The sequence below is a fragment of the Homo sapiens genome, chromosome 1 (genome assembly GCF_000001405.40).
Source record: "Homo sapiens chromosome 1, GRCh38.p14 Primary Assembly".
Taxonomy (NCBI): Eukaryota; Metazoa; Chordata; class Mammalia; order Primates; family Hominidae; genus Homo; species Homo sapiens.
In genome coordinates, this window is record NC_000001.11 from 190136217 (window position 1) to 190159363 (window position 23147).

The 23147-nt window shown below is 33.8% G+C and overlaps 1 protein-coding gene across 14 annotated transcripts in view; it reads right to left on the minus strand.

Moving 5' to 3' along the window:
* The window catches only part of BRINP3 (BMP/retinoic acid inducible neural specific 3), a 380207-nt gene that overhangs the window by 38559 nt on the left and 318501 nt on the right, over positions 1 to 23147 (minus strand). The window contains exon 8 of one of the 14 annotated variants that reach the window (XM_017001132.2): positions 16539 to 17893. The exons of the other annotated variants lie outside the window; for them this stretch is intronic. Within the exon in view, the coding sequence (XP_016856621.1) occupies positions 17890 to 17893 (4 nt within the window). The 3' untranslated portion in view covers positions 16539 to 17889. Of the gene's footprint in view, positions 1 to 16538; positions 17894 to 23147 lie in introns of those variants that run through there. 14 annotated transcript variants of the gene reach the window in all.

A 23147-nucleotide genomic window follows, 5' to 3' on the forward strand; every position in this document is an offset into this window, starting at 1 on the left:
AATTTTCTTTATATTTTGTTTTAAAAAGATAATTAATACATCCTTAGAGTTTTAAAAATGTTGACTTAATTAGCAATGCACTTAAAGATCTAACAACCATTGTTTAACACATTGATTGGGTTGATTTGGGTTGCTGGGGATCTTTGTTTAACAAAATCACTACCTCTTAGGCTATGTACCTAGCCACCACAACTGAACTCAGTTCATCACATGGATTCCTTCTTTTCTATTCCCATTAGCTATGCACTAATTGCAGTTTTTCTCTAATGCTTACATTATTCCAGTATACTGCTCACCTTCTTCCCTGCCTTCCCTCTTTGAATAATCTTGTTTGTCCAAATTTTTAACTTAAAACAATGCTTCAGCTATTATTTTCTTCATTGAAAATTAAATTACCATGAGCTTACAATTTTAACATACGCAAACATTTTTATTTTTTCCATCATCTAATTCAAATTTTTCATATAGTCTGCATAAGTCTTGTAATTTGAGGGAAGCCATTATTCTTACCTTAATTTTTACTCATAAATAAATATGAAGAGACTTTTCCAAAATACTAATAGGAAGCAAATGTAAACCTAGAAGAGCTATGAGAAGTGCATATGGGATAATCATGGTTGCCAATTATTGAGCACTTACTACATAACAGATATTTATTAAACACTTGAAATTCAACCAGTCATTTATTTAAATTGACCCCAAATAAATTAAATATATATTTATATAAAATGCTTATTTAAAAGCTGGGGTATGGTAATTAATCAAATTAATCTATTATAAGTTCTCACAATATCTGGATGAGTAGGTATCACTGTTCCCCAATTTACAGATAAACTAAGGTATAGTGTAGCTATGTGTCTTGCTCATTAAGAGACAATAAATAATGAAAGAACCATGATTTGAACATGACTCTTTTCGAATAAAACATTCTGTTTTTAATCTCTAGACTCCACTGAAGGAGGTTTGGGGAAAAAAGGCAGGAGTAAAATTTTGAAGGCCCAAGGCAATACAATTTTTTCTTTGTGAGCTATGAAGAATTATAGATGAAAGAGAGCAAATAAGGATGCCAGTTTATCCGGTTTTTATTTTTGGAAAAGAAATACTCTGATTGCCATGTGAAGGAAAAATTGAAATGATCTGAGACTGGAGGCAGGGAGCTATATCCCAACTAGATATACAAATATTCTCTCGGGTGAGAATTCTAGACTTGGAACCAAAGTTTAAAAAAAAAAAAAAAACCTGAAAAAATGCTTCGCATTATAGACAAGAGGTGGAGGGGAAGGAAGTACAATACAAGAATTGTCTGGAATGATAATGGTGTGATTACAGAAGTAGCACATCAGGAGGATGTGAGATCATAGAAACTGAAAAGAGAGAATTTTTAAAAAGAGCAAAACCCGTACAGTTTTTAAGTATTTCCAGGTTGACAAGAAGTGATACGCCATTTGATCTGGCAATTAGATGGTCATTATTTTAAGACTGATGGAAGAAGATAGTAATATTGGAGTGAAAGCCATTCTTCAATGTTTTAAAGAGTGGATGATATTAGATAAGTAAGAAAGAGGAAACTAAAAGAGAATAAAGAAAAAAGTACATATTGATTATATTGATTAAATATAAATTATTTTAGATACTTTACATATGCTGATTCTTGTAACCATGACAACTGTCTTATCTTCCATTCTACAAATGATGCAACCTGACTTTACAGAAATTATGAAAAGACTTCCTAGTTTTTTTTTTTTGTTTGTATTTTAGATGGAGTTTTGCTCTTTTTGCCCAGGCTGGAGTACAATGGCATGAGCTCGGCTCACCGCAACCTCTGCCTCCCAGGTTCAAGCGATTCTCCTGCCTCAGCCTCCTGAGTAGCTGGGATTACAGGCATGTACCAGCACGCCTGGCTAATTTTGTATTTTTAGTAAAGACGGGGTTTCTCCATGTTGGTCAGTCTGGTCTTGAACTCCCGACCTCAGGTGATCTGCCCACCTTGGCCTCCCAAAGTGCTGAGATTACAGGTGTGAGCCACCACACCTGGCCAAGACTTCCTAGTTTTTGAATGGTAGATCCCCAGCAACCCAACAAATTTATTTATTAGTGTTATGAGAATCTTTATTTCAATGAAGACTGCTAAACATGAGTTACACATGATTTGAGGTGAAGTTATTGCATAAGTTAAAAAAACAAATCCTTGTATTATTCAGTTCTCAGTTTAAAATCACCTTCCAGATATGAAACAAGAAATATCAGAAAGCAGGTATGAGTCAGAAAATGACTTGGTAGCTCATTGCAGACAAGAGAGTCGTAGGAAAACCCAAAGAGCTCAGATGTTAGTTTTTGTGCTTTGCCCTCTGTGTTGAGCCTTGGTATAGGTGGCATATGTGGTGGGCAGGGGTTTGAGGGAGAAATAATTGAACGCTGTGAAACTTGGGGATCAGGGCAAAAGGGAGCCAGCAGTCCACCTGCAGAGTTGCAGAACTGAGGCTGGGTGTAGCTTTGCAGAGATACCAGCAACAGAGACAGGTGGGTCTCAGAAAGGTTGGTAGAATGGCCATGTCCTTCTTTGTGTCCAGACCAAGAAAGGACAAAGGACCTCAATGACTTAGTACAAAAATGAGGAAGATGCTGAGTAGCCTGTGTAGCTTTGTCTCCTTCAGAGCCTGAGTCCAGATCATATACATCTCAATGGCGGCAGCAGGGACAGGCAAACAAAACTGGAGTTCCACAATAGTGGGGCTTAGAAAATCCATGCTGGGTTTAGAATCAACCCAAGAAAGGAGAGAAAAAGCCTTGAGAGGGAATTTTATAACTGAATGCAATGAAATGACAGACCAGAGTTGAACTTTGGATTTAGAAAGAATATACCTAAAAGTGCTTAGATTCCATTTCTGCATTAGGTAAAATAGATGGGTCACTGTCAGAAGACCGCATCATAGAAAAAAAAAAAATGATCGGCCCGGAGCCGTGGCTCACACCTGTAATCCCAGCCTTTGGAAGGCCTAGGCGGGCAGATCGCTTGAGCCTAGGGGTTTGAGACCAGCCTGGGCAACATGGTGAAACCCCCTCTGTCTCTACTAAAAATACAAAAATTAGCCAGGCATGGTGGCAGGTACCTGTAATCCCAGCTACCTGGGAGGCTTAAGCGGGAGAATCACTTGAACCTGGGAAGCAAAGGTTGCAGTGAGACAAGATCTCACCACTGCACTCCAGCCTGGGTGATAGAGTGAGACTCTGTCTCAAAAAAAAAAAAAAAAAAAGAAAGAAAGAAAAGAAAAAAAATGATCTTTGTCATCTGACATTTGAGTGTCTGACTTGCAAAATCATATTGAATATGAATTATTTTATTAATTTTTATGTGTGAAAAAATACTAGGTCTGCTGCTAATAAAGAACATTAGAAGGAAAGGTGGGCAGGGAGGCTTGAAGGAAATAGTAAATAAACATTTTCAAGTCACTGTAGGAAAGGAGCAAAAATGTGACTTTATTGCTGAATGATATACAGAGTTCAGTCAAGCCAGATTTGAGACAATATAGCATACGACATAAATCTACATAGTTAAGGTTTTCTCCAGGCAACATTTAGTGTTACCTTTCTCATGTTTGTAGGCCCAATATTATATCTATGGTAAACATGTTTTGGATACTCATTATGTTAAGTCAAGGGGCTACCCCATGAGTAAACCACAATCCTTGTCTCTGAGGGCTTGCTTTCTATTGGAAAATACAAACGTAAGCGAATAAATACGATAAAAATGTAATATGACAAAATTGAGAAATATTGAATTCCAAAAGACAATTTCTAACTTTGTTGTAGAGAAAGGGGTTAAGAAAAATTTTCAAGAAAGGAGATAATATTTCAACTGGGTTTTGAAAACATCTATAGCAAATAGTGGAAATAGGTTAAAAATATTTTAGGAAAAAACAGCTAAGCTGCACTTAATTTGAGTATTTTTTATTTTGTGAAACATTACCAGAAGCATTTCTCCACTTAAACTTTATTTCTTGCAAATATTGTTCATGTTGAAGCGAATCTATACAAACACTTTTCACTAACATTCAAAACCATCTTGGTTATCCTTTTAAATATACTTGTATTATTAGTCTAAATATAAAGATTCATAGAAAGATAAGAAGATGCAAAATCTACAATTATATGTGATACTATTATTATTATATGTTTATTAAATGACTTCATTTGCCATGAAAACATAATTTACCTGATATATCTGTTTACTTAACCACACTGTATGAAAATGTGCCACACAGAACTATATTTACACATATAAACCTACTATTAATTATTAATCTTATGGCAAGCATAAAAGTAAACTTTTATATTAATACAGTTTAATTTTATTTCCTAAAACCATAAATTTTAGGATAAAAAATAAATTAATTTTGACATTGCTCAACATCAAACAAACTTTAATAAAATGTTAAAATTAAAGCTGTAGAATTTGTTTTCAAATTTAGTGAGATGAACTGTATTTCAAAACAGCACATAAACATTGAACTAGTCACATAATTCAAGGATACCAAAATTAGCATTCCATGGATTCATTCATTAGAAAGTACTGGTGGCCTCTTTACCCACATAGTGTAAAGCTATTCATGCCAGCAGCTTAAGACACTCAAGTTTGCCAAATTTCACAGGTGCTGCCTGAAGAGAATGATAGTCTGCCACTCCTCCCTTGCAAAAGACAAATCTCTATTCACAAGAGCGGGAAAACTTACAAACAGAGAGGCTATTTTTTAAAATCTTTGATGCTAATTCAAATAGGAACTTGACCAGTTGTACCTCCTCTTAGCAACAGGTGCAGAATTATACACTGACTCTCCTATAAATATTCTTGAAAGAATCCCTTGGCTTTAGCATTTTAATGCCATGTTTCTTTAAATGAGGCCTGTTTTTCATAGGTTTTCTAATTTGAATGTTATACTCTTGCAGACTGTACCTAATTTATTTTACTAATGAAAATATCAAATGTCAATTGATTTGTATCTCTTGTGGAAATTTTGCCATTAAGATATTAATATAATATATTTTATAGATGTTCTGCTAGTAAAAAGAAGCTCCTGTTTTTCATCAATACTAAATTGCTATAACTCTTCGTTATTTTCCCAGTAGTAAAGATAATTTTATGCCTGGAATTTAAATCCATATTCTTGATTGAGATGTTTGTTTGTCTGCAGTGTAGTCAAGAAGACACTGCACTAGACTGGGGCTCAATTCCAGAATTAACACCACAATTTTATAACTGTATAACCTTTAGAATATCACTTAATATTTTAATCCTCTTTCTTTCTCTTTTTCTTTCTTTCTCTCTCTCTTTCTTTCTTTCCTTTTTTTTTTTTTTTTTTTTTTTTGAGACAGAGTCTTGCTCTGTCACCCAGGCTAGTGTGAAGTGGCACGATCTCCGCTCACTGCAACCTCCACCTCCTGGTTCAAGCAATTCTCCTGCCTCAGCCTCCTAAGTAGCTGGGTTACAGGCGTGTGCCATCATGCTGGGCTAATTTTTGTATTTTTAGGAGAGACAGGATTTCACCATGTTGGTCAGGCTGGTCTCAAACTCCTGACCTTGTGATCAGCCTGCCACGGCCTCCAAAAGTGTTGGGATCACAGGTGTGAGCCACCACGCCTAGCCTTAATCCTCATTATTTTTCCTATATGTAAAATAAAATAATAAAGACTGATTTGTACATCCCAAGTAGTTAATGTGAGGATCAAAAAAGATATCGATTATGAAAAATATGAATAAAAGTTTAAAAAGTAAAAAGTAAACATGAAAAGAAAAAACATATATAAAATAAAAAGACTCTTTTTTCCAGAAGAAAATATGGGAGAAAATCTGTTCAAGTTGTGATTGGCAAAAATTTCTTTGGACTCAACCTTTCTACCTATAGAAGAAAATAATTGATGAATTAGACTTTATTAATGGCAATCCACATTCTGGTTGGCCACATTTACAAGTCAGAAAAAAAGTGCTTGCCTCAGAATATGTAAATAATTATTTTCAACTAATAATGGGAATACAAACATCTCAATAAAAATGAACAACATAATTGAAGAAACATTTTACATAACCTGATATATGAAAGGTCAAGAAGCACCTGAAATGATAACTAATCATAATTAGTTATGTGGAAAGGAAATCTCATTCTAGTCAGAAAGTGGAAAACTGCTAAGGATTTGGATATGGCTAGAGCTGAAAACAGAGTTAAAGAAAGGTTTTTGCTTTTGCGCTGGCATTGGAAATGATAAGATTCATGCTATTTTTTTAAGTAATTCTATTTTAATACGTGTGTATTGATCTCTGTTTTTACAGAAAATGCCAGGTACAAAGGTATAGTTTATCTTGGATACTAATTTGAGTGGGGTTTTGTCTTCATTTTTTACAATTTAATTTTCTTTTTTTCTTTTCTATAAGTGTTTGACACCATACTTGTCTTCATTTTAATAGTGTTCAGAGTATAACCTATCAGAAATATTTTTATACTTGAAAAAATACAACTTTCAAATAAAAAAATTAAAAATATGGAATTGAAGTATGCCTGAGACAAGTTAATCTAATTATCAAAAAGCTCACTTTTTGCTTCAGCAATATGTTTTATTTAGGGAAAAAAAAAAAGTTGGCCTTTCTGGACTAAAGAGATCTGAGATAAAAGGAGAGACTAAAACTATGCCTGGAAAACTTTTATTGAAAAAATTTCCTGAAAGGCCGTAAGTAGTTTTTATTTTTCCTTTTCCAGATATTAGAATTTTGGCTTGAGTTTTCTGTGGTATCTGAGGAAAGAAAATAGGAGAAGAGAGCCTAGCTACCCAATTTCCTTCTTTAAAGTAAAGATGATTTGCAAGAAGTTTTCAATCAAAAAATTAAAATGTTTTAAAATATACAAAACATAGAACTATACATCAGCTTGGAGTGGAGGAAAATAAAATGCAAGTAGCCTATATACTTGTCCGATTATCTTTCTAAAGATTTTTGGCTTATGGAGAACAGCAAAACTCAGACTGAAGTTAGATTACCTCTACCACATGGAGACTGCTGGCTTTCGGAAGATGTGTCCACTCACTTCAGTTTGGTTAGGCCAAGACAAATAATAAAATCATGAAGACAACATGGAAACAGATGCAGAAAATGTAATTCTCCCCAGCTTCTGAATGCAAAGAGAAACTAGCTCACCAATGGAACTACTCAAAGGTCAAGCCTTTCAGTTAAAAATAGAAAACAGCCTTTTCCTAAGGGACATTGAGGGACCATTCTCATACCTGCAGGACCAATAGTCCTTTGTGGATATGGAAATAATAATAGAATGTTCTGAGAGGGATGCTTCAACAAGCAACACCCCCAAAACTGAGTTATTCCTCTATCTAGGCAATGTATATTTTTATAGATGAGTAAGGGCTGAATCCAAAAACATTTAATGACTAGCACTGCATGAACACCAGCCCATCAGAATGAACACCCAACATATAAGAATGGTATCAACTCTTACACTGCTATGTTCTGGCTCTAGCTGAATGTCAGTACTGAGGTATGCCATGACTATTTTAAGTCATTTTAGCCAAATTCAAGGTGGTGGCCAGGTAACATCCCTTTATCAAATGCTAACTGAACTACAAAATTTAGAATTATGAATCCCTAGACAGATTGGTAATCTGAAAGTTATGAGAATTGCATAGCCATGACCATTTATAATTTTATCAAATAATATGATCAATAAAACATTAATCTAATTTCCTCACAAATTTATGCAAGGAGCATGATGTCTGGTTGGCTTGTTTGGATATTGATGTCCATGAAAATGCATAGGAGAGTATTAAGGGGAAAATCCTCCCTATTTGTTGTACAAGATTCTTTAAGAGAGGCTGCAGAAACACCAAACAATGTACAGGCATAGGAGACACAAAATGTGCCAAGAAAATTACAGGAAATTTCAGTATCAATTAATGTCTTTTTGAAATGCAACCCCCTCCCCCTTTTTATTTCCTCTCTTTCACTAAACTGGCTCATAGCTAGTATCTTCCCCCAGTGCTCATATAAAATAATACAATGGCATCCATAGCATCCATATTTCATTCTCTAATTCTAACCTGCCCTAAAACAAAGTGGAAGTTCAGGGAAAGTATCTGACTCCAAGTTTAGGGCAGGGGAATTCATGATAGCCCTGGAATCTTGTTAATGGACAATGGCATCATCAACTGTGTAGTCTCATCTGGGATGTTAGTACCCTACAGAAATTTCAACCCATTGTGCTGTAGCCTTTCCTCTAGGTGGTCATTTATTTCCATTAAGATACTTTATATTTTAATAATTAAATTAGAAAACTAAGTATATTCATCTTTTTTTCCATTTTTGTATAATTTTTGTTAAAGTTACATCATTTTTATAAAAGATTGGCTTCCATAGTTTCTTGTTGCCTGGAAAAAACCTAAATAATATTTCTAACCTTCTAAAGTCAGAAAAATCTTACCGATGAACATATCTCATCTTCATACTTTCCAAAATGGGTATTTTATCACTTTTCCCAATGATCTGTCAGTCATCCCCAATAACTCTTTGACTATGTTTTCTATTACTATACTCTCCATGGGAAGCCACAGGGGCTCCTCATGATTCCTGGAGCACTCCAAGCCCCACTGCACCTCAGGAATTTGAACATGCTGCTGTTCAGTCGGCCTGTAATTCACTTCTCCAGATATACATATGGCATACTGCATTCTCACCTTCTTCATATCTTTGCAGACAGTCTTGTTTAAAATTGTAAACACAATGACAACCACATAGATACCTAACCCCTGGCATGTCCTTTTTTTCTTTTCTGGCTTATTTTTTCCATAATACTGATAATCTTCAAAAATAATATATAATTTGCCCATTTACTTTATTTTTTCACCCCACTAAATTATTAACTCATAATTTCCAGGCTATTTATATACATTATATATAATCTCTCTCTCTATAAAATTGCACAGGCTGATGTATGTCCTGTGTCATACATGACATTAAATGTTTATTTGTCCAATGAAATAAAAAATGGTTACAAGTTCTCAGTAACTTTAACTTTTTGTATGTTGATTTTGTGTCATGCAACTTTACTGAATTCATCTAAATCCCATTTAATTTTTTATTCCTTCTTCTTTATCAATTAAGGCATTTGTAACTATGATCTTTATTTTGAGTCTAGAATTCACTGTGTTCTCATAGCACTATGCAGTGTTCTCTTTTGAACTGCTTTCTTTAGAGTCTGAAATTTCCCTTTGAATTTTCTTTGAACAAAGGATTAAGTAGGAATGGGTTTCTTAATTTCCAATCAGGGAAGAATTTCATTTTTAAAAATTGCATGTCAACAATTTCACTTAAATGTAAATTAGTACAACCACTGTGGAAACCAGTATGGAGATTCCTTAAAGAACAAAAAGTAGACCTACCATTCAATCCAGCAATCCCACTACTGGGTATCTACCCAAAGGAAAAGAAGTCATCATATGAAAAAGACACATGCATACACATTTTTATAGCATCACAATTTGCAACTGCAAAGATATGAAACCAACCTAACTGCCCATCAACCAAAGGGTGAATAAAGAAAATGTTATTATGTATACATTCACATACATACATATATACACACATACCATGGAATACTACTCAACCATAAAAAGGAATAGAATAATGTCTTTTGCAGCAACTTGGTTGGAGCTCGAGGCCATTATTCTAAGTGAAGTTGCTCAGGAATGGAAAAACCAAATATCATATGTTCTCATTTATAAGTGGGAGTTAAGCTATAAGGACTTAAAGGCATAAAAATGATATAATGGACTTTGGGGACTTGGAGGGAAAGTTAAAAGGGGAGTGAGGGATCAAAGACCACACATTGGGTACAGTGTACACTGCTCAGGTGATGAGTGCTCTAAACCCTCAGAAATCATCAATAAAGAACTTATCCATGTAACCAGAAACCACCTGTACCCCAAAACTATTGGAATAATTTTTTAAAAGAGCATAAAAGTTCACTTAAAATATTTAACCTTATTAGATTATGATAAAATAAATGACCTAATCTGGACTTTGTTAAACTTTTAACATCAGGGAATTAATATAACCTTAAAAGGAGTGTCTTGGTATACCTTCTCCTTGTATACCTTTGTAGCCCACTTGAATGTTACACTCATAAATCAAATTGCTACATACACGTGAGTGTATTTGTAGACTTTGTAGCATTTTCCATACTATTTCAATTACTGTATAGTTATATAAATATTCACTATTTTAATTACTATATCATCATCACCACCATTACTATCATCATCATTATCAAATAGATTGTTTGAGTTTTAATAAATGCTGAGACTTTACACATATAAAAGAGATTCATTTTCATAATAATTTGGTAAGGAAAGTATTCATTATAGGTAGGAAACTGAAGTCAAAAGAGATTAAGCAATTTTCAGTGGCTACTCAGCAGTGTAGCCAGAGCACTTCTGGAACACTATTTTATTTCTTTAGAAAATATTTGAATATTTGGCAATCCTAGTCTACTATCATTATCCCTCTTTTAAAATATTATTTACTATATTTGCTTACTTGTTTTCCCACATAAATTTCAATTAATATTGTATTAAATTGATAATTAGTATTATATTGCAATATTAATTTAGTGGAAAATATTAATGGATAAAATATATACATACAGAATTATTTTTCCATTCAGAAAACGAGCAAGCTCTCCATGTATTCAAAATTTCCCTTAAATTGCCACAAGATTTTTATTACATTTATTTTCTTATATTACATATTTTGATATCCTTGTGGATGTATTCTTTTCTGTTATATTTTCTTAAGGAGTTTTGTTTGCGTATTGGTAGGCTATTCATTTTTATTTATTCTGTAGCTAGCAAATTTCTTTAAGTACATTTTTTCAGTTTTTTAAAATTATATTCTATGGGGCTTTCCATGTAAATATGCATGCCATCCACAACTAACAAGCATATTTTATTGTAAATATCAATATTGCGTATTTTCTAATTTTCAAATTATGTAGATTCAAGTTTTATTTACTGGCAAACTTACTAAACAAGGATAAACAATAAGTAATAGAAGACGATCTTTTCTTTGGCATAATTATACTATCCAATAAGAATAATTTATTTCAGGATAAAGTTTATATACCTTCTTGAGTTGATTATTCTATTAATTTGTTTAATAAGTAACATTTTCAGAACTAGAGTTTATAATATCTAAAGACACTTTATATATATGAAAGTCCTTTTGTTTTCCTCTCAAATAAAATATCAATTCACTAAGCAGAAAATTCTTCAGTCATATTTTTTCCTCTCAAAACACCATGCGTTAATCTACCATACCTTGCAATTAGTGTTTTAGATTAAAGAAATTGTTTTCATTCTTACTTGGTTACCTTTCCAGTGAGGAAAACAAAACAAAACAAAATTCTTTTGCTGTCACAGTCTTGGAAAGACAAGCTGGAAGTCAGTTTCCCTCTCATGGTTAGATTGGACTGCTATATTTGCTTTTATAACCATGTACTACTTGACATCCTGACAAACTGCTTTGTTCCTCTGGTTCTCCCTGAGAGAAGAAAGATAGGAATCTGAGAAGCCAATCTGTGGTCCAGAAAGAGCCGGTGGCCATGTCTGCCTTAGGTTACTTCCATCTAGAAATAAACAGGCCTGGATGTATGATAGACAAATGCTGTAATTGTTGACTTGGAGCCAGACATGTAAGATGAGCACGCTATTGTGCACACTTTTTCTCTTCCTTTGTGCCCATACACACAATAAGTAGGCTTTAAAATACGTCAAATATTTAAACTAATTGATGAACTAAGAAAAACTGAAATGGAGTAGCTAAAAATGATTGATATTAACTTAGAACCATTACATAATACAATTCTATTTTATATATTTTGCTTGGTGCTGAGTCTTTTTTCATCCAATTTCAAGAAAAGCTCTCTCTCTCTTTCTCATTGCCTCTTCTCAATGAAATATCAGTCTTCTCTCTATGGAAATTCTATTATGCATGCTGTATATTTTTACTCTCACCCATGCTCTTCATGAACCTCACTTTTAAAATAAATTCTTGCCGGGTGCAGTGGCTCACGCGTCATCCCAACACTTTGGGAGGCCGAGGCGGCGGATCAAGAGGTCAGGAGATCGAAACCATCCTGACTAACACGGAGAAACCCCATCTCTACTAAAAATACAAAAAAAAACTAGCCGGGCGTGGTGGCGGGCGCCTGTAGTCCCAGCTACTAGAGAGGCTGAGGCAGGAGAATGGTGTGAACCTGGGAAGTGGAGCTTGCAGTGAGCTGAGATCGCGCCGCTGTATACAGCCAGGGCGACAGAGTTGAGACTCTGTCACAAAATAAATAAATAAATAAATAAATAAATAAATAAATAAATAAATAAATAAATAAATTCTATCTCCTCATTCTTTATTTATAGTACTGCATTAGCTTGTTTTACTGTAATAAACTAATGCTCTTCTTTTAACAGTCTACTGTATTTTAGTTTTAAATTTAGTAATCATATTTTTATCTTCTAAACTTTTTCTTGTTTTCCTATTTTTCCATTCTATTACTTAATGTTTTTTGCATGAATTTAATACTTTCTCAAACTTTTCAATGATGACAGATTGGGAAGAACTAGGACACCTTCTTTAACAAACATGATAAACCTGAGAAATAACATGGTAGAGTAATGAAAAACTCGACGACCTCTATAGCCAGATTGCCTGAGTTTGGACTCTAGCTCTGCCACCAGTAGTTGAGTAATCTTGCTTAATTTGTTTAGATTATCAAAACTTCAGAATCCTCAATTGTGAATTTAAAGTAAAACTACTACCCACCTTATAACATTGTATTAAGTTAAAAATGAAAAATGGTAAAGCATTTAGAACAGTGTTTGACACACGTTTGTACTTAATACATGTTAGCTAATAACTAGTTAAACATGACAGTTGTCACTAGTGAGTCAGTTCCAGGATAATCTCTTTTAGCTCGTTATGTGGGTGGCTCTTCATCAAGAGATATTGGTGGATTCCACTGCATGTCTCTTCTGCTATTTAGATAGGTATTTCACTTACATGTGATGAATTGTGATTTGGTCAGCTTCAGCTTCATTCCTGTTTACTTTCTGCGGTTTATCTTTCAAAATATCTCTCCATATTATTGCATATTGATGAATGATTTAATAATTTCAGGTAGTGACACAGTTTTGTTCAGTTCAACAGGAATTTAGATGAGGTTATAAAAGAAAAATCATGTATTTAGATCATAATCAGGTATTGCTCTCCTTATGTATTAAATATATTGTTGAGGGAGCATGTACGTTTTTGTATACACGTCTCAGTGCGTGCGTGTTAGTGTGCACTTAGGATATTGTTGAGTAGTTGTGTGTGTGTGTGTGTGTGTGTGTGTGTGTATGTGAGAGAGAGAGACCTGGTAGAATTTCCTTATATTATTACTAATGTACATTGTTTTATATTTGTTTATGGCTAACTTTCCTGCTTATATGAGCTAATTTTGTTTCAGTTCAATACAAAGTGCTACCTGAGATTTGATCTTTTGTATTTCCTTTGAGGAGCCTACATGAATTCTTCCTGCTGAGCTTAATACAACCACCACAGCAAACTGACCTTCATTTTCTTGAGTGTTCTTTTGTCACATCAATGTTCTTTTGTGATGTTCTATTTGTTGTTGTCTGAAGTGCATTTAGATTGTGAGATAGGAGATTTTTATTTCAATTGGCATTGATTTTTGAAATGTATTCACTCACTTTATAACTTGTGTGGGCTGCCTAAAATGAAGTGCTTCACATTTTTTTTCAGTGTTAGGGATTTGTGCTGGTATGCATCTCATAATATGTAGTTTTCACCCTCTTGATTTATAAAACCATTTTCACTTTTAGAAAACAGTGTCTTAATTTAATGCTCAAGGAAAAGAACTCCAGATTTCAGTCATATGCCATTTTAATGAGTTGGTATATATGTGCATATGCCATTTTAATGAGTTGGTATATATGTGCATATCTATGTGTGTGTGTGTGTGTGTGTGTACATACATAGATACATATACATGTTAGAAAATAATGATGCTAAAAGGCGGTGAGGAAGATTATTTATAGGGACTATTTTGTCCTCTGCATGAGGATTCTAACACATAGTATTGAGATTAGAGATTGCGTACTGCATCTAAGTGGTGTTACCAAATTAGTCATTAGATTAAATGTATCATTAAAGCAACTCAAATTAGGTTTTCCCCACTGCATTGAGCAAGTTTGATTCAGAAATGATATCATTTGTAAGATTTACCTGATTTCTGGTGTTTAGTACGACATCTTATTATTTATTAGTACTATCATTCAGAATGAGAAGTTTAGGACAAGCATCTACATATTTACCTAATGACAATTTTGAAATAGCCAATTTCATTTTTATGCATTGATGCTTCCAATATTATTTGTATGAAGCTGACAAAAAAGATTCTCATACTTTGAGAAAACACTTTGAGTTATTCCTCTTTTATGCATGCACGATTATATTTTTAAAGAATAAGAGATTTTAAAATACTAGTCTAATCTCAGTCAGATGACACCAATATCATGGTGTCTATCCCTGGCCACAACATTTTAATGGGAAGTGTTTAAAAGGAAAGGTCATAGATAAAGATAAATAATTCTGATATACGAGATGGGATTCTACTGTGAGATAACAAGACCACCACATCCTCAGAATAGAAACCCTGTCTCTACCAAAAATATAAAAAAATAGTCGAGTGTGGTGTGTGCGTGTAATATCAGCCACTTGGCAGGGTAAGGCCATAGAATCGCTTGAACCTGGGAGGTGGAGTTTGCAGTGAGCCGAGATAGTGCCACTGCACTCCATCCTGGGTGACAGAGCAAGACTCAGTCTCAAAAAAAAAGAAAAAAGAAAAAATGATGTTCAGATTCCTATTTATTTGGCAGTTTAAAAGGCATCCACTTATTCAAAAACAAGTAAAATTGTTTAGAAGTGATTCAAATATAGATGAGACCTATTAGAGATTCAGCCCTAACTTAATTATATTTAAAAAGCAAAAGTACAACCATTCTAAAGATTTCACGGTCAAAAACATTGTAAGATCTGGAGAAACATTAGTACCTTGGGATCTATATGGATTTACACTATGTGGCTCATCTACAAACCATTGACAGTTAATGTGATATCAGCAAATAATCAGTTTATCAATTTGTACTCCATAAAATTTTTCTCTCATATGTAAGTTCATGTATCAATATCAAAAGAAGAGTCTCACTTAAAGTAACTCTCTCTATATAAGCCAAAATAAAAATTGAGATGAAAATCTCAGAAATAAAGGTTATAAGAAAGAAATCTGACAAAAATATGTCCTAGTAAATGAATCAGCATTTTATTTGCTGGCCCTATCAAATTAGAATTTTACAAGGACATAGTGGTGTAATCTCTGAGTCCATTTGAGAAGGTAATGAAGTAATTGTTTGCCAGTGATTGATACCCAGCACAAAGAAGACAACTAAAGAGGTGAGCAAAGAAGAGTCTTCCAAAATAATTTTCAGCACAAGGTAATTGCCAAATATTTTACTGTGATTGAAGTTACTACATTACAACAAAAGACAAGCCTAAAATCAAAAAACTGGAGAAAAGATGACGTGACACTGATCTCCAAGCACATACTTGGACAATTTAACAGGCATTTAAGGAAGTAGAAATTTAATTCTGAAAATCCCTTGTTTAAATTAGTCTAATCATGTTTATTTCCTAATTGTAAAATTTTATGGAGTATTTGGCATGCATGTGTTGTAGCTTTCCAAAAAGGGCTGTAGTATTCAAGAATCTCCAACTTTGTTTAACCACCACTCCCTTTTAAAAAAGGAATGTATTTATTTGAGATAAAATACATTATCTTAGATAAATTTATTATTTTAGATTGTTGTCAGTAAAATTAATTCTTTTTAAATTAATTCATATATAGATATAGAATATTTTTGGTCCTTTTTAAATATATTTTTTGTTAACCAACCATGGCAGTCATTATCTCAACACTTTAGTTGCTTTCTAGTAGCTTTCATGCTAGATACCAATCTCAAGCAAATAATTATTCATTACCTTCTCAGACAGACTCAGAGTTTACACTTTCTCATTGTTGTAAAAATTGAAATTGATATGGTCCAAAAAACAACATGCTGATTCTCTATAAATATAATGAGATGATCATTTTGAACTATTACATACATGCACAAATATATATATATATATATATCGCCACAGAATCTCCCCCAACCCCCCCCCCGCCCCCCAAAAAAGCAAAGCCTTTTGACTCTGTTATTATTGTCAAAATCAGCTATCTAAAAAAAGTGCCTCTATTGGGTTGAGTCTGGACATCTTTCCTGTGTACACTGTGGGCTGCAGACAGAGTTCACTGGACAAAATGTTGAGGTACCGAAGTCTATGTCCTAATCTTTCATCCGTGAGAAAAAGATGAAGAAAAGCAAGCACAACACTATATTTCTACAGACTTTAATTTTATTTTATCATTATAGTCGTACTCTGCCTAAAATGCCCAAATTAGTGACTGGCATGGCTGACAAATAGTATAATAAAGAGTACCAATAATTTTTATACATACACATAATACATATAAATGAGTTTAAAAAACTAATTTCAACTCACAACTGTCTAAGATATAATAAAGTGAAAGATAATTAAAAGATTTATGAGTAGGTTAGAGTAGAAATATTATGGCAAAAATAAAACCAAGGCCATTTTAGAGCCATGGTGGCTGAAATGTAAGCTATATCAAGAATTAGATGAAAATAGGTAGCATAAGTGATAGGACAATTTTCCCTACTTTGAAACTTATTTAGAAGTTATCCCAATCAAGAACAGTGGGGTACATGCACGATTTTTTTTCCTTCTTCTTCTGTTGTCCTCAAAAAGCTAATCTTGGCTCCCTTGAATCGGAATTCAGACAACTAAGACATTCTTTCTTAAGTAACAGTTTGTTTGCATTTAGACCATTATCTTTATGGCCAATTTTATTTTGAGTATGAAACACATGAAAGACATTTTGCAGAAAATTTATGAGTGTATTAGAAAATACCTACACACAAGAAAAGGGGTTTTCTGTTTTTGAAATGGAAAGTACTTATCTAAGCACCTTTCATGCACTGGGTACTTCATATTTCCATTTCTCAATAACAACATTTAATACATAAATGTAAGGGTTTGTAAATTTACTGCTTCATTATTACTGAGTATGTGCTTGTGAGTCATCCTGGAGTGCCTGAAACTAGAAAAATAAAATAATAAAAGATCATTTTATAACATGTAAGTGTAAGAAAAAACTAATATCCTAATTTCCATACAGTTTCATATAAAATTGCTTTCAGCAAAAGTCCCTCACATTAATATATAAATGCAATTTTTAACTAAATCATAGATTCTATAATATTAAAGAATTTGGGTCAGCCATGGTGGCTCATGCCTGTAGTCCCAGCTACTCAGGAGACTGAGGTTGGAGGATCCCTTGAGCTCAGGATGTCAAGGCCACAGTGAGCTATGATCACAACAGCCTGAGCAACAGTGTAAGACTCTGTCTCAACAAAATGAATAAGTAAAGAAATAATTTGGAGGCCATTCTGTAAGGTACTTTTATTTGTTGGGATGCAAGTTTGGCTCTAGTAATATAACTCAAATAACAGTAACTTATACAAAATGGAATTTTATTCCTCTCAAATAACAGTACAACATAAACAATCCATGACTTATATGGTGGCCTCAAAGATGCTGGGTTCTACAGTTCTTCACAAGTTTTTTCAGTTATGATTTTTAGTTCTAGTCATCACATTTTCATCTTAGCTAGGGGAAAGAGATAAAAAAGATGACACATATTCTTCTTCCCTTAAGAACCAATTTAGGAGTTTCATGCATTCCTCCCATTTATATACATGTATCCACCTTAGGTGCAAGGAAGGTATACAGGTGTGATGCAGCATGCGCTCAGATGAAACTCAGGGTTGTACTAGTAAAGGAAGAGAAGATGCAAAGGAAGAAGTGTTTGTCTTCTGTCTATTAGCTACTTAGGAGGAGAAGAAATTGATTTCAGGCATTCTCTATCCTAAAGAGTGATCCACATAGCCCTGGGTGTAGGTGGGAAAAGAGGGCAAGATCCTATCAGAAGATGCACAAAGTCAAAACTATTTTCATAGAAATAAATAAGACATTTTTCTTTTGCATTGTTTTGACACTTCCACTGACAGTTCTAAAGCAATGGAGAGTAAACTACTGCTGAAGGCTTACTACAAACCAATTAGTGCCACCAAACTGCTCTCCTAGTGGGGATATATTCCTTACTGATACATACTTGTAAAACAGAAAGAAATGTTTTCAAGAATGTTCATTTTGAAGCATTTAAAAGAAAGTTTACTGCATCTTAATCTTCAGTATAAATCTGCATGTCAAAACAAGACACATGAATAAAGGACTTATGCTGCAGATAGCACTATAATAGTTGATTTGAGGAAAATAACTTTTGCCATTATTTTAGTTGCAGGCTGAGGTAGCCACGTTTTTCATGGAAAACCATTTTTACTTGACATAGTTTGACAGAAAAATGATGGTTATTCAGACTTGGACACTTGGTGGATCTGTTATCAAAACTTAAAAAAATGAGGCTGTTGCTTCAGGACAAACAACTGATTTATTTAACGGCAATGATAACAATAAAGCATTCAAGTGAACAATACAGAACTTGTATCTGCCACTAGAAGACTGACAGCTTTCTAAAATGTAAAGGCTTTTCTCATGAGTCCAATGATGATATTAATAATAAGTTCTTTTGTTATTGCCTACTGAAATATGTCAGCATTTGGAAGATTTTCATATATAAGTTGAAAGAGCATATATAGGAGTGCATGACATAGCTCTTATATAATGAATAGGTAGACTTCAACTCATTTTTCTCTGTGGCATTAAAATATTCCATTACATCTCACTTTATTTTGTTAATAAAATATGAATAACTTCATAATAATAATATATTCAATTGTTTTAATTGCTTGCTGCAGCCTGTGTGTCCTGACTCAGAAGATCTGAGTGTGTACTTCTATTCACAACTCTGTGTTCAGTGACATCACATTGGTAGATTGATATTGACTGTGGTAGTGAACAAAAATTGTTAAATATTGTTCATCAAAGCTTTCCTTTTTCCTAAAGAGTTGTTTGCTAAACTTTTACCAACACTTCATTAAATGTAGTATTTCTATGGATCCTTGCTGCTCTGTGAATGGCAGCACAACATAGTATAGCTCAGTTACGTTTTAGGAATTATACTATGATAGTTTTCAATAATTGCTGACATAATTTGGCTCTGTTCCCCTACTCAAATCTCACCTCGAATTATAATCCCCACATTAGGGAGGGACCTAGTGTGAGGTAATTGTAGGGGCAGTTTCCCCTGTGCTGTTCTCCTGAGTGAGTAAGTTCTCACAAGATCTGATGTTTTAAAAGTATAGCACTTCCCCCCTAGCTTCCTTTCTCTCTCTCTCCTCTGGGTGCCATGCAAGATGTGTCTTGCTTCCCCTTTGCCTTATTCCATGATTCTAAGTTTCCTGCAGTCCCCCCAGCCAGGAAGAACTGTGAGTCAATTAAGCCTCTTTTCTTTAGAAATTACCAAGTCTCAGGTAGTTCTTTATAGCAGTGTGGAAGCAGACAATACAATTGCTGTAATCACTATCTTGTGATGAAATTAGTAAGCCATTGTTACATAGCTGCAAAGTTTTAGAATAGGAGCAAAAGTTGACTACCTCAAGGAAACCAAATTGTCGCAGGCTTTAGAGTTTACTCAAGTAAGAAAAATGATTTTTATGTCGCATGAATTCCTCAGAGCAAAAATGGTGAGATTAATCTGAATGTCAAGCTTTATTGAAAAGGAAGAACTATACACTATACAGAGTAACTTTAATCTATCTGTCATTATATAGGAAATGTGAAAATATCTTATTGGTGGAGATGTACTTTGAAGGTCTTGTTTGTTTTTGCTTATTTTTCAAGATCTTAGCAGATCATAAATTGAGAGAAAAGTTCAAGGGAATGACTGAGAACAATTCCATAAAGGCAAGAAAAAAATATAATTTGTAATGAAAGCGAATTACTGGTATGGCTTATCTAAGTCTTCTTCAAAAATTTCTGAAAATGTAACTTACAAATACCCAATGTTCAGTTTACATTCTACCATATTCTACCCTCCTAGAATCCAGTACATATTTTTTTTTTGTTTTCCTGATGTCATTTCATATTATTCTTTTAAAATGGAAAAAAAGAGAGATAGAAACAAAATGTTACATTGGCAGTAAAAGAAAAACGGGGATGGAAAATATCAAACTTCAATAAACAAATTTATCTAGCAAGAAGTCTGCATTGTTTTTGTGTGTGTGGTGACTAATAGTCAACTTAGGAATTACGCTAAATTAAAAAAAAGGAAGTCAAGAAAATTCTGTGGCAATATTTGACTTATTTAATTTAGAAGTTTTGGAAAACAAAGATTTATCTCTACTATGTTGAATTCTAATGCAAATATTACACTTCTATTTTATTCTACTTATTTGTGTTGGACGCTCCCAGTTTGAACTGGGATTTCAGCTTCCCACATTTTCATTACAAAACTTGAACTTGTATAGCATTTTTGTATGTCAACTTATAATTCATTTATTTTTACTAGAAATTAATGTGGCTTCCATGATATATTTTACTCTAGTATCTGCTCAATTGCAGTTTCTGTTTTTTCACTCACCTCACATATATCTGCACTTTCTGATAATACAGTCTTCCCTCAGTATCCCAAGAGGATTGGTTCCAGGAATTCCTCCATTCCCCCAATATTAAAAAAAAAAATTAACACATACTCAAGACCCACAGTAAGCCTTGCAGAATCTGAGGATACAAAAATCAGCCCTCCTTATGCATGGGTTTCGCATCCCATAAATACTATATTTTTCATCCACCAGGTTGAGGATGAGGAACTTGGTGATGGAAAAGGTTGTGTGAAAATCTTTTTGATTGGGAGAAATCTGCATATAACTGGACCCACGCAGTTCAAACTCGTGTTGTTCAAATGTCAGCTGGATTCAGATTTCATGGATTCCTGTGAACCAATGATTGCCGTTCCTTGAGATTGGATTCCCTGAGATTGTCCAAATCTTCCCTGAGCTTCAGACATACATATCCAGCTCTAGATGTACTAGTTAAAAAGAACCCTAAAGTCAATGTCTTTATAACCAGACTCATCAATTTGCTTCCTAATTCACCTCATCTTCTTGCACTTTCTATTTTGGGTAAAATAATGTATTACATGGTTTTCAAATTGCTTTTAACCTACATATATAAAGCATAAGGCTCATTATAATCAAATAACAAGATCTTCACCCAGCCACATTTTCCAGGCATGGAATGTTCCCTGGGAGTACACAAAAAGACATATTAAATATCTTATTTGTGGAGGAAATAAGAAAACTTATGAGATGCATAAAATAATGATTTATAGCAGTGCTTAGAGGAAGCTTTATTGATGTGAATGACTGTATTTAAAAAGATGAAAGCAATAACAAGGAATCAACCTAGGTTTCCAACAATGGTGGACTGGATAAAAAAATATGGTACATACATGCCATGGAATACCACATAGCCATAAAAAATAAAATCACGTCCTTTGCAGTAACATGAATGCAGCTTGAGGCCATTATCCTAAGTGAGTTAATGCAAGAATAGAAAGCCAATTAATGTGTGTACTTATTTATAAGTGGGAACTGATATAGTTTGGCTGTGTTCCCACCCAAATCTCATCTTGAATTACCACATGTTGTGGAAGGGACCCCGTGGGAGGTAATTGAATCATGGGGCAGGTCTTTCCCATGCTGTTCTTGTGATAGTGAATAAGTCTCATGAGATTTGATAGTTTTAAAAATGGGAGTTTCCCTGCACAAGTTCTCTCTTTGCCTGCTGCCATTCATGTAAGATGTGACTTGCTCCTCCTTGTCTTCTGCCATGATTGTGAGGCCTCCACCAGCCATGTGGAACTGTAAGTCCATTAAACCTCTTTTTCTTCCCAGTCTCAAATATGTCTTTATCTGCAGCATAAAAATGGACTAATACAAGAACTAAACATTTGGTACTTATGGACATAAACATGCTAAAGTAGACACTAGAGACTATTAGAGTGGAGAGAAAGTGAGGGGGCCAATTATTGAAAACCACTGGGTACTATGCTCACTACCTGGGTGACGGGATCAATCATACCTCAAACCTCAGCATCATGCAATATACCTATAAAACAAATGTGTACATTTACCACCTGAATCTAAAATAAAAGTTGAAAAATTAAAAAGAATGTTTTATTCCCAAAAGGTGAAAATTCTCAAATTAATAACTTAAGTTTTTATTCCAAGAAACCAGAAAAAGAAAATGACATTAAACACACAGCAAAGAGGAAAAAATAATAGAATTGGTATGAAAAATAAACTAAAAATGAAAAAAATAATAAGGACTATCAAGAAAACTAAAAGTTAGTGAAAAATGAAAATGAGGTTGAAAAACTTTTAGCTAAACTGACCACAGGGAGGGGGAGAGAGAGAGAGAGAGAGAAAGAAAAGAGAAAGGACTGCCTAGGAAACTGAAAAGACACCTTAAAGAATAGAATTAATTATCTGTATATCATACAACTGATAGGGAACTTGCAATCAGAACATATGAAGTCCTCTTACAACTCAATGCCCACTTTCAAAAAAATATTGAAATCTGTGAAGGATTTGAATAGACATTTTTCCATAAAAGATATACAATGAACATGAAAAGATGTTCAAAGCACATGAAAAGATGTTCAATATTGTTAGTCATTAGGGAAATTTAAATCAAAACCAAAAGATATTATTTCATATTCACTTCGATGGCTATAACCAAATTGATACAAAATCACAAGTGTTGAAGATAATGTGGAGAGATTGGAGTTGTCATTTGTGACTGGTGAAAATATAAAATGGTGCAGCCACTGTGAAAAACAGTTTGGTAGCTTCTCAAAATGTTAAATACAGTTGTCTCATGACTCAGCATTTCTCCACTT